Source organism: Homo sapiens, chromosome 16 (assembly GCF_000001405.40).
Source record: "Homo sapiens chromosome 16, GRCh38.p14 Primary Assembly".
Lineage (NCBI taxonomy): Eukaryota > Metazoa > Chordata > Mammalia > Primates > Hominidae > Homo > Homo sapiens.
In genome coordinates, this window is record NC_000016.10 from 3,808,233 (window position 1) to 3,823,378 (window position 15,146).

The following is a 15,146-nucleotide window of genomic DNA, read 5'->3' on the forward strand; positions in this document are numbered from 1 at the left end:
AGCAAAAGGATGAGATGCTGTTGCTACTGCTTCTCCTAATTACTCTCCAGTTCTCCAGAGCAGGAGTTTTTAACTAGGGGCGACTATGCCCTGGAGAACATATGTTGGTGCCTTGAGCCATTTTTGATTATCATGGCTTAGAGGAGAAGGCTGTAAGCACCCAGTGGGTAGGGCCAGGGATGCTGCCCAACATCCTCTGGGGCACAACCGGCTCACAGCAGAGAACTGCCATCAGTGCAGAGGCAGAGGGGAGCCTGCCCCAGACCAAACGGCTCCAGCCCTGCTGCAGGTGAAGGGAATGAGCAGCCTCTTTGCAGTCCCGGGCAGAAACTGCCCTTGACAAGCATACCACATCTGCCAAGTTCAGCCCTCTGGAGCAGCAGTGGAGGCAGCAGAGGGGCCCGGAGCACAGATTCTGTCACTAAGTTGTAGATAAAGGAGAGGGGATGGGGAAGTGGGGCTGGAGAATATTTTAAAAGAGAAAAGGGAGCAAAATGTTAGGTCAGGGTTTCCCTGACTGTAAAACACAAGAAGTCTTGGAAAAAGCAAATGCTTTCACTATGAAGCCAAAATGTGCTCCTGGTTACTGAGCAGGCATAATCGATGACAGCTAACCCCAGAGTCCACACTACTGTCCTTTCGGTGAGGACTGGAAAAGGAAGCACAGGAGAGAACGGGATCTGTGTGGTGCCAGAGCCCAGCATTATGCAGGTCAGTACCGTTCCCTGAACTTGAGGGGCTGACCTAGGGTCCTCTGGGCTCTGTTTCAGGTTCTGGACCTGCACTATCAGGAACAGGACAATCCTGGCAACAAAAAGTTATTGGAAAGAAAGAAGCATATCAAGGAAAGTTACAAGGGGATTATCAGAAGAAATAAAGAAGTCCTAAGAACTTTAGGTTGTTTTCACAGTTTTGAGAGCAAGTTTTGTTACTTGTACATACCCAACCACCTTTTTTTTTTTTGAGACAGAGTCTTGCTCTGCCACCCAGGCTAGAGTGCAGTGGCGCGATCTCCGCTCACTGCAACCTCCACCTCCCAGGTTCAAGCGATTCTCTTGCCTCAGCCTCCTGAGTAGCTGGAATTACAGGTGCCCGCCACCATGCCCGGCTAATTTTTGTATTTTTAGCAGAGACGGGGTTTCATCATCTTGGCCAGCCTGGCCTCGAACTCCTGACCTAGTGATCCACCCGCCTCAGCCTCCCAAAGTGCTGGCATTACAGGTGTGAGCCACCACGCCCGGCCTCAACCACCTTTTTAAATGGAGGTACCATACAGCAGGGAGCCAGCACCTGACAGGACACCTCATTATTCCCATTTCCTGATTTTATCAAACAAGTAAATAAAGAGATCTGGCTCTCTCTGCTTCCCAGCAACCTCAAAACTTCTAAGCACTGTAAGCAATGTTAATTACTTAGTTTTGAGAAAAGACCAAGGTTATGTAAGATGCATCAGAGGAAGCTGGATGAGGTGAAAGATATATAGGAATTCTCTGTGCTATCTTTACAACAAATACTTCAAAATAAAAAGCATAAAAAACCGAAAGACAAAAAGCAACTTTTTCTGAACATAATCCTCTCACTTTCTTGTGATCTTCCCAAATCACTATGGCAGCTGGGAAGGTCAGGCTCTCAGCAACAAGCACAGTGGGGAGAGATGGCTGCTTGTGGTCCTCACCCACCACCAAGAGCACACCAGACATGCAGCACTGGGGGTGAACAAGAGAGGCTGGACAAAAGAACGCACTACCCCTCAGTGTTTTGAAATAAAAGAGATTCTATTATTTGGTGGTGCAAAAGGAGATATTTTCCCATTAATATCTTGATTCATCAGGTTGAGAAGTGATAAGGATAATTCCCATTTTATAGATTTCCCATCTATAAAATCCCTTCAAACCTCAGGGAGGATGAAGACACGTGGAATCATCTATTGTGTTGGACGTAATATGCATCTCATCAACAGAGTATTGTCTTTGGAAGATAAATGTCCATCATCTGACGGTAATACAAATCAATGGGCTTCTACTGACATCATCAAGCCACTAACAAACAGGAAGTGTAAGAAAAGCCAGTGTCTCTGGTTCTCATGATTCTGGAGAGAAAGGTAAAGTGATTCGTGCACGTGAATTCTCTCCATCAACAAAAGGAGCCTGGGAAGAGCGGCTGAATCATCCTCACCTATCTCTCCTGTTGCTAGCTCATCACAGAAAATGTTAAACTCATTTAGAGAGCTACTCATGAGAAATCTGGGTTCTCTTCCTATCACCTACTGACACACTTTTAGTTATAGACTTTCACTGTGAGAATGGTAAAAATCCACAGACCACAGCACCCACCGGAGAGCCATAACACTGAGGGCCAAGGGTAACTTACCATATTTGGCACGTTGGTGACTGAAGTATTCTTGATATCTGTAGGGAAGGTGGGCAAACTGTTGACCATGCTCTGTTTGCTGGCTAACTGGGGGTTCACTCCAGTGGCTCCCATTGGCTGCCCTCCAGCTTGACTAAAGGGCTGTCCAAATGGACTTGTGTTCCCAGTTATTCCCATCTGAAACAAAAAAGAGGTAACATCAGCTGTGGTGACGCAGTCAATATAAAAGGAAGGGCCTGGGAAATGCTCACACAGTTTCCTATGAAATACTCATTGCAATGATAAATTCAAGGTTCATTATCAGGTTCACATGCTCCAAGCAGAAGGCTCATGAAGCAGCTCCTAGCAGCCACTCTCTCCTCACCCTAAACCCCATCCCGCAAGTAGACGAGCTGTTTCCCCCCACCCTCAGCCACTCTCCTCACTCAATCCCTCCTGCCCCAACAATGGCACCAACACCCGAAGAAAGTCATTTGGAAAACAAAACCTTCCAAAGCTGCTACCCAAGGGGAATTCTTTCAGTTTAATCCTTAATTACTCTATAGGTATCTAGTTTCTGTTAGGTTCCCCATCAGATTTGAACTAAGTTTCCATTAGTTCAAAACACACAGTGGAAATATTGCAATGAAATGATACAACACCTGGGATCTCCTTTAAAATACACCTGACCCATGACCAACATGGGTTTGAACTGCATGGGTCTACATATATGGAAATATTTTTCAATCTCTCCTGCTCCTCTTCAAACTCCTCAGCCTCTGCCAACCAAGAGATCAAGACCAGCACCTCCTCATCCTCCTCAACGTGAAGACAATGAGGATGAAGACCTTGATGATGACCCACTTTCACTTAATGAATGGTACATATATTTTCTTTTCCTTATGGTTTTATTTATTTATTTTAATAGAGACAGCATCTTGCTCTGTCGCCTAGGCTGGAGTGCAGTGGAGCTGTCTCGGCTCACTGCCAACCTCTACCGCCTGGGTTCAAGCGATTCTCTTGCCTCAGCCTCCTGAGTAGCTGGTACTACAGGCACGTGCCACCAGGTCCGGCTAATTTTTTTGTATTTTTAGTAGAGACACGGTTTCATCATGCTGGCCAGGCTGTTCTCAAACTCCTGACCTCAGGTGATCCATCCACCTTGGCCTCCCAAAGTGCTCGGATTACAGGCATGAGCCACCGTGCCCGGCCCCTTACGGTTTTCCTAATAACGTTTTCTTTTCTCTAGCTTACTTCACTGTAAAGATACAGTATATAACACATAAAACATGAAATTTGTGTTAAGCAAATGTGTATGCTATTGGTAAGGCTTCTGATCAACAGCAGGGGATTAGTAGTAGTTAAACTTTTATGGAGTCAAAAGGTTACAAGCAGATTTTCGACTGGCAGGGTCAGCACCCTTAACCCCTGAGTTGCTTAAGGGTCACCTCTAATCCACTGGGCAGGAGGAGGTGGCAGGAAAAGGGCATAGATGGAGAGAGCCTGGTAAGGTACTGATAATCACTAACCAAGCAGTAGGCGATGGGTACAGAGAGGTTATAGTATCCTCTCTACCACTGTACAGGTGTAAAATTTATGTATTTATTTATATTTTTTGAGAGTGTGTCACTCTGTCACCCAGGCTGGAGTGCAGTGGCGTGATCTCGGCTCACTGAAACCTCCCTCTCCCAGGTTCAAGCAATTCTCCTGCCTCAGCCTCCTGAGTAGCTGGGATTATGGGCTCGTGCCATCACACCCAGCTAATTTTTGTATTTTTAGTAGAGACAAAGTTTCATCATGTTGGCCAAGCTGGTCTTGAACTCCTGACCTCAGGTGATCCGCCCACCTTGGCCTCCCAATGTACTGGGATTACAGGTGTGAGCCACTGCGCCCGGCCTAAAATTTTCCATAATAAAGTTTTTTATAAAATTAAAGTGCACTGAAATCAAATATATACTAGATAAAGGCAGGAATGGGAAAGAGGAACCCTCAGCTATGCTTCCGTGAGGGCCTGCAACCAACTGGAATTCCTTCCATCAACAGATGTGGGCCAAGTTCCCTGATGACCCCCAGCTCCAGCCTCCACAGGTCAATTCAGGAATTGCCATGGCAATATCCCAGTGCTTATCTTTCTCCCTGTGGAGAAACAACGACTAATTAAGAAACTGGATGCTTGGGCTGCCTGTCTTTGCTTTTTTGCAAAGCTCTAATATTCCACCTTCTGTCTATTGTGTGTTCTGTATTTCTGGAGTAGTGGTCAGTTTGATGGACTGGGAAGGTCCCCGCATAGGGAAAACCTCCCAGGGGTGAGTTTCCAGTTAAGAAATCATAGCTCAGTTCTCTCCATCAGCCTCACCTGGTGACTGCCACGCCAGCATGTCCACTCTGGGTAACTTAACATTCCTTCTATGGACTTCAAACTCCTCGCCTGTAAGATGAGTGTCTTGAACAAGATGGATCGTATTATTTCTTTCAGCTCTAAAAGTCTAGGCTACAAACAAATCAACACTCAACACAACTGGCCCTTTCTGCTGAAATGCCTGTACAGAAACACAAATAAAAACCAAAGGAGTATAACCAGAAAGTTCTAGCTCTGTGCATTTCATACGCAGGTGATTTCCTTCCCCATGTAGTCCTCCTAGGTGACATTTCTCACCTTTTGGAAAGCAATCACATTCTTGTCACCACTAGGTGCTCTACTTAAGTGAACTGAGACACTAATTCTTCTGCAAGTCCACAAACCAGACTCAATTTCGAGTTCAAATGACTTAATCTAGGCAAGATGGTAGCTCGATAAATATTAAGCACATTTCTGATTTGCAAGAAGCTTCCTTCAACTGTCATCTGAAACTTAATTGAAGCAGGAATTTATATTTTCAGAAACCACTATACTAAATTAATTCCATGGAACACTTACTACTCTCAGAATTTGTCTTATTACATATAACCAAACCGCTGAAACATTGTTCTTAGAAGCCTAGAATTTGAATACAACAACACGAACAACAACAAAAAATATAGTTTTTTTTCCCCCAGTTCCTAAATTTCTGACTTCGGACAAAATATGACAGAACACCCACACTCATTTTCCCTCGATCAATTCATCCTCGAAGTCAACTGGTATTCACCAAGTGCCTGGTATGAGCCAAGCCCAGTTCTGAGGCTGCGTAGATGCATTTCCCACTTGTCACGGAGCTCACACCTTATGTCAACCAATTTGACAAACAAACAAACAAAAAATCAACGTCTTTTGGAAGTTTCTAATTAATTAGGCCCAGCATTGACAAACCAAAGTGGGTGACAGCTGAAGGGGTGGGGAAGGGAACAGGTAACCATCTTCCTTCCACACCAAATGCCCAGGCACCCTGGCTCCAGAGAAGAGGGGACCTAAGTACCAAGAGGCCAGTGTGCTCTGTGGACCTCAAAGTTCACCTGACTTGCTTCAGAAAGTTTATTTCCAAAACTTCCCAGATATTTTGACAATTTTCCTAAGATAGCCCTGCCAGGGTGAGTATGAGTGTGTGATCAGATGGGTAATACTTGCCTGGCCTGGGGCCCTTTTCTAACTGGTCAATGTTGTTTAGTGTGTGTGTGTGTGTGTGTGTGTGTGTGTGTTTGAGACAGAGTCTCGTTCTGTGTGTGTGTGTGTGTGTGTGTGTGTGTGTGTGTGTGTGTGTGTGTGTGTGTGTTTGAGACAGAGTCTCGTTCTGTTGCCTAGGCTGGAATGCAGTGGCATGATTTCAGCTCCCTGCAACCTCCGCCTCCCAGATTCAAGCAATTCTCGTGTCTCAGCCTCCCAAGTAGTTGAGTTCACAGGCATGCACCACCACACCCAGCAAATTTTTGTATTTTTTAGTAGAGACAGGGTTTTACCATGTTGGCCACGCTGGCCTCAAACTCCTGGCCTCAAGTGATCCATACACCTCAAGCCTCCCCAGGTGTTGGGATTACAGGTATAAGCCACCACGCCTGGCCATAACTGGTCAATTTCAAAGGGTAACCCAGTGTTTGGAAGCGCTCTGACAGATTTCATCAAAAACGTGTTTGTACCTTTTCTTCTTGGCCATCAGATAAGAGAGTGAAGGAAACAGTCTCAACAAGTTTTTACCTTGATTCTCACAAGGTAAAAAAGATGGCAAGTCAAAGATCATGAACGGTATGTAAGGAACGTCCAGCTCATAGGGATCTACACAATTCTCAAAAATAGGGGAAAAAATTCCCGTCTTTAGCCTATGATAAAAACAAAACCCAGGCTACATGCAGGAGGTTAGGGTTCAAATCTCTGGCACCAGGGCCAGCCCCAGCCTCTCCTTATCAGAGAAAGTTAATAACCAGGCTAAAGAGGTCAGCTCTCTCACAGGGTATCACTGCTCATTGCCCAGGCAAGGCTACCTCCTGGTGCCAAACCACCTCCTGGCAGAACTCAAGAGCCATGCACTGGTCCTAGCCTGCAGTTATGAATAAAAACCATTTGCTTCTAGAGATTCTAGATTTCTGAATTCCTAGTATATATCTATTCTCCATTAATCAAACTGAGCACTGTGGTCCCCCACCCTAGGCTAACATATACTTCTTAGGACCAATGCCCAAAATGAAATACTAAAATCAAGATGTCTAACGCTAATTAATGAAAATCTACATTTCTTTAAACGTCCCAACAGGTACTTGATAATAGTTTGGTAGGCTGGGTGCTCATGCCTGTAATTCCAGCACTTTGGGAGGCTAAGGCAGGCGGATCACTTAAGGTCAGCAGTTCGAGACCAGCCTGGCCAACATGGTGAAACTCCATCTCTACTAAAAATACAAAAATTAGCTAGGCATGGTGGTGCGTGCGTATAATCCCACGATGAGCCAGAATAAACTGCTTGAACCCGGGAGGCAGAAAATGCAGTGAGCTGAGATCTTGCCACTGCACTCCAGCCTGGATGACAGAGGGGAGACTCCATCTCAAAAAAAAAAAAAAAAAAAATTTTTTTTTTTTTTTGTAAAGCTGGCTTTATTTTCAATGGAGGTTCATCAGGATTTGGTTTAATGCTGCTAGAGAACCTCTATATAATCTTTTAAAAAGTTTTTTCATTTTTAATTTTGGGAGGTACATAGTAGGTATATATATTTATGGGTTACATGAGTTTTTTTTACAGGCATGCACTGTGTAATAATCACACCCAGGTTAAATGGGGTGTCCGTCACCTCAAGCATTTATCCTTTGTGTTATAAACAATCCAATTACAGTCTTTCAGTTATTTAAAAATGTAGAATTAAATTATTTTTGAATAGTCACCCTGTTGTGCTAGCAAATACAAAGTCTTATTCATTCTTTTTTTTTGTATTCCATACACTCTTTTAAATAAAATTAAAAAAGCAGAACAGAGAATAGGCAACTGTTCAGTTAATAGTAAAATTTATATATTAACAAATTAAAACCCATAAAGTATTTATATTCTGCCTCATTCAACAACAGCCCATACATATTAGAAGTTTCTTTTACTCTGTTCTTCCTAACAGAACTCCTTTAAGCATTTAATTCAAGTTTAATCTCAGAAAATAGGAAAAGTTAACTATAGTAAGTACCCAAAAAAAGAACAAGAGCTTCCATAATGAAACTAAATTAAACAATGCCTCACAGCTCTCCCAGGTTTCCCATTAAAAAGCATTGTGACCAAGCGTATCAATCAATTAACTGTTTGAGAACCTACTTCTGTTTTCTATCACTTCACTCAGAGAGTAAAAATATGTAATGCATAGTCCCTGTGTATGATAAGAAAAATATTGAAGCCAGATCCTGAGGTTTCCCCAACTCCAACCACTGCCCCCAAGAAAGAATGGGGGTGAAACTGGATTAGCCTTAACATGACTGCAGTGTGAGCTCTGATGAGGAAATTCCTCTTTAAGTTCAGCTCAAAACCCAAGAACAATACAAAGAGGCACCTGCAGCAAATCCTGGTGCTGAGCCTAGCCCATCCATTAAATCCTGTGGCTGCGGGTCTGAACTGTCTGGCAAGTAGGTGAGTGACCATGATCAACAAAGAGGAGGGAAAAGGCAGACTGTGACTGTCCATCTACTCCAGCAGACATGGGTACCACGGAAAGTACAAAGTACCACACGGCTCTAGAGGATTATCTGTCACATAAATGTTTGTAATAATCTATCCTGAACCTGTTTTGGTCACAAAACTAGGATAAAACTTCTCACCTTCCTGGAACATTCTCTGCATCCCCTGCAACATACCAGGGATGCAGCGGAAGGACCCAAATGAATGAACACGCCAAAGCACCACCATGCCACGCAGCCCCTAGGAATAGAGCCAGGAAGGAGGTGGTCAAAGAACCACGAACAAGTGACCAAAGTCAAGGCACAAAGAGGGTCAGCAATGGCTGGAGGGGGCATCGGAAGAGGCAGCAGGAACAGTGCCCTTTCTATCTTCAAAACTTCCAAACAAGGATCTCAGCTACCAGTTGGAGTGGACAGGAGTGGACAGCTACTTTCCCATGCTGAAAAGTCGGGCAGAACGAGAACAGGCCTTCGGAGTTGGTTTTCAGAATGGTGAAACGGGTGTGTGTGATCACAGCAGATACACAAGTCCAGTCTGGCTATAAAATGGGTCCTCTGTGCTACATCTTTGGGCCAGGAAAACCCTGACTTTGGTACAAGGCCCCACTCATGCCCTTACCCAGAGCTTTCCACTTGCACACAGAATTACTGACCCATCAGCCTCCATGGTCACTTCTGGCTGCCAACAGCCTCCTCTGTTTACCTCAGTGTGTGGGACAAATACTATCATTTTCTACTTGTAATGATATGACAGCTATCAAAACATTAGTAAGAAAACAAGCTCCAGGCTCAGAAAGACCAGAAAGATTCTCTCCACTCACTAACCAGGAGAATCTCTCTACTACTCACCTAACTCCCCCTTCTCTCAAGTGAGATCTAGTCTCGTAAAAAAGTTAGTAAATGGAAATCCAAAAACTAATTAAGGGTTTAAGGAGAGAGAAAAGTCAAGTCAAGTCCTTCAATATCATCAGAAAAACTCCTGATATTGAAAAGGGGTTTAGACTGAAAGGTTATAGAAGAAATCATCAAAATAGAAGTATTTCCCCAGAACAGGTTTCTACAATAGTAGCAAGCCAAGCATCCATTTTCTGGCTCTTCTGTCGAAAAGGTCAGAGAAACACGTTCTTTGCAGGCCAAACTCCACTGGGGGGAGGCAATGGGCCAGGCAGTCCATGGGGGCAGGGGAGGGAGCATTTGGGTGGGCACCAGTTCACAATTTTGTGTGATGTTCATTTCTGAGGGTCACTCTAAGATCTCCTAAAGATTAAGAATACCTGTCCTTGGAGGAAGGAAACTTCCTCCATGCCCCTCATTTTCAGGGAAGGGCAAGCTGGTTCCTCATCTCACACAACCCTGAGCCATGTATGGGAGCCTTTGCAAATAGTCCACTTCCAGAGACATCAACCACTCATAAGAACAACCACTCCGACAAACAAACTCCCCCAGTTTTCATCTCCAAACGTCATTTTGAAGTGCACACTCACAAGAAGGGGTTGACCATAACCACTTATGAGTATGCACCTGAGGGGGCCACCATGTGACCAATGGGGGGCCGGGGAGGAGGACGGCCAGAAATGGCACTGCGACGCAGAACTTGACCTAGAGTCGGCCAGGCCATCAGAAACTCTCAGTGCAACAAGTGCCGAGTTTGATGTTTAGGTTTTCTTTTCTTTTTTTTTTTTTTTTTTTTTGAGATGGAGTCTCACTCTTGTTGCCCAGGCTGGAGTGTAGTGGCACCGTCCCAGCTCACTGCAACCTCTGCCTCCCTGGTTCAAGCGATTCTCCCGTCTCAGCCTCCTGAGTAGCTGGGACTACAGGCGCGTGCCACCACGCCTGGCTAATTTTTGTATTTTTAGTAGAGATGGGGTTTCCCCATCTTTACTAAAGACCACGTTGGCCAGGCTGGTCTCAAACTCCTAACCTCAAGTGATCCGCCTGCCTTGGCCTCCCAAAGGGCTGGGATTACAGGCGTGAGCCACCGCACCTGGCCTTAAGGTGGTTCCGAGGAGCCCACTAAGTCCATTTTTGCAGCAGCTGACTACTTCAGCAGTTTTCCTCACACCTCAAGACACGCCTCAAGCCACAATACACAGCAGACCACTCAGAGGAAGTGGGCTTTGGGGGGTGTCACTGATGCTGGTCAAAAACACACAAAAAGGAACCAAAATATGATGTTCAGTAATAAGCTTTGCAAAGACAAGTGGAGAAATAAGACTAGCTAAAACCTACCACTTTATAGGTGAGGAAGGGGCCCCCCGGAAAGGGCAGGGACACACTAAATCAGCCTGAGAACTCAGCAGACGCTCCCCACAGCCCCCACTAGAGGCTTCACCCTTGCACGGGGGCTCATCACCTCCCCGCTTAACGCAACTCTGTCTCCTTCAAGTTCACCGGCCTCACGCCAGTAGCCGGGACAGAGACAGGATCTGTCTATGAAAACAGGGTGGCAAAGTGCGGCCTGTGGGCCAAAGGCAGCCCAATGCCTCTTTCTGAAAAAACCAAATTTTTCTTATTGGAACACAGCCACAAATACAATTTCATCCATAGAGGCAACATGCCATTGCGGTCAACTATGTGGGCTCTGGGGATATCTGAATGGCGACTCCACCACTTGCTAGGGATTTACTTAAACCTCTCTGCACCTTGGTTTTATCATCTGTAAAATGGAGATCACAGCACCTCCTCTAAGGGTTGCGTGAGAACTAAACAAGTTCCTATATGCGAAGCACTAAGATGAGCAGCTGCGACAGTGAGTACTAGGGGTGAGGAGGTGAGAGACAGCTTTGGGAGCAATCATTCTACACTACATATGATTTCTTTCCTGACCATGCTTAAACAGTAATGAAATAAAGGAATGCTTTACAGAGAACGTGTAATGGTGGAGAGTGGTTCCAACATGTAGGACGATAGGGAGAGGCCGGCTGGGATTACTGGCATTTGGATTATGGGACATTTTCAGAAAAACACTGTGACAACAACAATCTTGTGCATTTGCTATTTGTAGAAATACTCTGAAAAGGCCATTATTTTCTAATTGTCCTGGTAAATCATAAGCGTTTCCAGTTTTCATTCTACATTGTTTTTTAGCTTTAAGAACAATAAACTCAGGGTGTTTATTTCAAACTTAAATCATAAGCAATAATGACATATGATTAAAATACCCTAGCCTAACATTCTTGGGTTAAAATTTAAACCAAAACATAGAAGAACTGAACATGAAAGAACACTCCCACGAAAAAAGAAATGGATGCAACTACCACTCATAAGCCAGCCACGACACAGCAACAAACTTCCATTTGATGTGGCTTCAGCCTAACCTGACATATTTTTCAAGCTGGAGTTTTTTTAGCATCTTTCTCCACAAGTTGGTATACATGTAAAACCACAAATTCATATAAGGTGTAAAAAAACAACACAGTTCAGTACATCAAGAGCAAAAGTTTGCTAAATAATTGAATAGCCAGAAATATTTATCATTTTCAATGACATAAAGAACCAGAACCACCCCAGACTACGGCCAGATCATTTGTAAAGCCAAAAGCATTTTCTCTTGGCAACCTACCATTGTTGGAAGAAAGCCAAGAAAAGCAGTTTTCATGGAAAGACATGACTGCATTCAGTTGTCTGCTATCACTCGCTTGCTCTTGGAATCCTTCCAGTATATCAACTTGGTAAATATAGAGTAAGGAGAAATACGCCACTGATTACAGTGCCACAGACAGCACTTGGCTGTCCAGGGTGCACCTGGGGCAGGAGAGTTGGGCTAAAGCACCTGGGCAGGTGAACAGCCCACCTTCCCCCTCAATTGAAGTCTTATGTGCTGCCAACCTGGAATGCATTCAGGAAAATGTGCGGCCCCCAGGTCTGAACATTTGCCCTGGAAGGATAAGTCCTAACTGGAAGACTAGTAACAAAGTATTTAGCAACTCTCACTGTATTTCATTTGGATAATGTCTTTCAAGAAGCATTCCTTGTCTTCTTGGGTTAAGATCCTCCCAGGCACGAGGATTGCTTGAGGCCAGGAGTTTGAGACCAACCTGGGCAACGTAGCAAAACCCCCTTCTCTACAAAAAATAATTAGCCAGGTGTGACGGCGTGTGCTTGTAGTCCCAGCTATTTCGGAGGCTGAGGTGGGAGGACTGCTCGAACCCAAGAGGTTGAGGATGTAGTGATCCATAATTGAGCCACTGTGTACACACACACACAGCCACGACCAGAATGTGACTTAGAAGAAGAGTGGAAATGCAGGCCTGTATCCTCACTGTTAGTCACCCAACTGCTCCAGAAACTTCTAGCAGTGAAACCGGCACCCTAATACTATTGGTACACCTTGGCAGGTCCCTACAGTTAGAGACGCTGGTTCCCCAAGGTGCAGTCTGCATTAATGCATAAGCAAAAACGACGGGTCAAGGTCACTGGAGAAACTATTTCTAATCCTGTTTCTGCCCCTCATCAGCCATGTAACTGGGACAAACCTCTTGGTCCCTCAGTTTTCCTTATCTATAAAATAGGAAGCATTTAGATTATCATTAGGTGATCTTTAAAGTTCTTTCTGATTCTAAAAATCTGATGACATTTTTTATTTCAAACCATCAGTGCTTGATTCACATAAAGGCTACACTCCTGGGAGATGTTGCTACTCGCAGTGAGTGACAACTGAGGGTTCTGAGTCTGCAGACTTAACTGTCAACCCCTGGACTGGGAGGCCCTCACCATGGCAATCCTCCCTGTGGGGCCCAGAGTGGATGGCCAGCAGCCTTTCCAGGAGACTGGGGAGTTCGTGGAGCAAGGTCTTCCATCCCCACTGCCCAGTGACTGGGATTCCATAGCCCCGCACCCTGGACACCACTTCCCAGAGTATTTTACACAAAGAACAGCTAATCTGAGGCAAAATGATCCAAGAAAAGGGAGATAAAATTTGAAGGCACTGTTTCTCCTAATTCTTTTAAGTCCTAATATTTTTTTTTAGGTAGAAGAGTAGACTCTCTTCAGGATTAAGTGCCCCTTTCATGCCAATCCAAGCCAACTTCACACGGGCAATGGAAAAAGAGGAAAAAAGAAGAAAAGGTGATAAAAAATGTGAGAAAAATTTTATTCTATAAAGACTGAATCTTGGCTGGGCGTGGTGGCTCACGCCTGTAATCCCAGCACTTTGAAAGGCCAAGGCGGGTGGATCACCTGAGGTCAGGAGTTGGAGACCCGCCTGGCCAATATGGTGAAACCCTGTCTCTACTAAAAATACAAAAATTAGCCAGGCATGGTGGCACACACCTGTAGCCCCAGCTACAGGTTTAGGCAGGAGAATCGCTTAAGGAGAGGCTTAGGCAGGAGAATCACTTGAACCCTGGGAGTAGGAGGTTGCAGTGAGCCAAGATTGCACCACTGCACTCCAGCCTGGGTAACACAGCAAGACTCTGTCACACACACACACAAAAGAGTGAATCTTTGTAAAGACGAAATTAATTTACACTGCAATCCAACTATGGCCCAGCGGGACAGAGGGCCTCAATAAGTCACCTGACAAAGCCACCCGATGTTTTCCCCAGACCTTCCACATAGAGCGCTCATGCAAGGCAGAGAAGCACCTTTTTCCACGGATCTACACTCCACTCACTCATAAAAAGGGACGTCAAGAACGCACAGTAAAGGAGGCGGCAATAAAGGAAGGCGTGAATGTGTATAGGTAACGCAACGGTTCAGAGAAAAGGAGAAATAAAGATCGGACAGAACTCACAAGGCTTTAAGACAGACAGCCACTGACTATTTCTAGTAAAATTTAAAGGAGAAAGAAAGATGACATTTCAGAGGACTGTGTTCCTCCTCTACTTTGGGGCAGGAAAACAGAACTAATTCTTGAACTGGGCAGGCCGTCAGCTCTACTGTGGGAGCAGGAAGAACAGCTCGTGGGATGAGCCCTGGGAGGTGACGTGAGGCTGCCTGAGGGTTCTGTGTCATCTCCTCATGGCGAATCTCCTGGACCTCAGTGGCAAGAGGAGGACTGCAGCAGCCAAAGAAGATCTTGCCCAGCTTATTAAATGCCATAAATCTAAAAGTGTAAAGCACACTCAAAGATATATTGTTATCAAAAATATGTGGCTCTACCTCTTAACAAAAGCTGAGGTGTACAGAGTCCTAACAAAAACATAATTAGCAAAGTAAAGTGCTCTTAAATACAGTCGTCCCTCCTGACTGGTGATGTCAGCGAGGAGACAAAACAGGGAAGGGTGCTGAGGGAGCCAGGAGCTGGCTCAGTCCGCTGCAGTCTCTGTGCCTTGTTTCGAGAGAATACACAGGAAGCGCCTAGAAAAGGGAGAGGGGTGAGGTCAACATAAGGAACCGCTGGTACCACAAAGGTGACTCTGATTACTGACAGAGAAAACGTTCCTTCTAAGTTACAAAATTAAAAAGAAAAAAAGGACACAAATGTATAATCCCCATAAAACACACACCTATACACAGCAAGGAGGACAGAACACCAAAATATTTCATAGTGATTTCTCTGGATGGCTTGTAAGCAAATGTTCTTTCTTAATACTTTCTATTATGACTCATATTCTCTATACAAAGCATTATTTTAAGGAGGAAAAGTTGTTTCTTAAAGTCGTTCTCTACTCAAACATTCTGAGTGCCCAAAATGGCAAGACGACCCTGTTAGGCTGCACAACTCTACTTAAAACATTAAACTGTCATTAAACACTGAATAAAACTAGGTAGATCAAACTGTTGGTGACAGAGATTGCCGCTG

At 44.7% G+C, this 15,146-nt stretch overlaps 1 protein-coding gene across 10 annotated transcripts in view, besides 2 other annotated features; it reads right to left on the reverse strand.

Annotated features, from left to right (window-relative positions):
* Positions 1-15,146, reverse strand: part of CREBBP (CREB binding lysine acetyltransferase) — a 155,660-nt gene that overhangs the window by 83,179 nt on the left and 57,335 nt on the right. For 9 of the 10 annotated variants that reach the window (XM_047433625.1, XM_047433624.1, XM_005255124.5 and 6 more), the window contains exon 3: positions 2,371-2,547. In XM_047433625.1, coding sequence (XP_047289581.1) covers positions 2,371-2,547 — 177 coding nt within the window. Of the gene's footprint in view, positions 1-2,370; positions 2,548-4,705; positions 6,224-15,146 lie in introns of those variants that run through there. The other variant, XM_011522381.3, reaches the window with a different exon arrangement.
* Positions 13,840-14,341: an enhancer, noted in NCBI's record as "H3K4me1 hESC enhancer chr16:3872073-3872574 (GRCh37/hg19 assembly coordinates)". NCBI's record gives its function as "activates a minimal SCP1, AML or CMV promoter by ChIP-STARR-seq in primed H9 embryonic stem cells {active_cell/tissue: H9 hESC(primed)}" and the evidence as "EXISTENCE:reporter gene assay evidence [ECO:0000049][PMID:30033119]".
* Positions 14,342-14,841: an enhancer, noted in NCBI's record as "H3K4me1 hESC enhancer chr16:3872575-3873074 (GRCh37/hg19 assembly coordinates)". NCBI's record gives its function as "activates a minimal SCP1, AML or CMV promoter by ChIP-STARR-seq in primed H9 embryonic stem cells {active_cell/tissue: H9 hESC(primed)}" and the evidence as "EXISTENCE:reporter gene assay evidence [ECO:0000049][PMID:30033119]".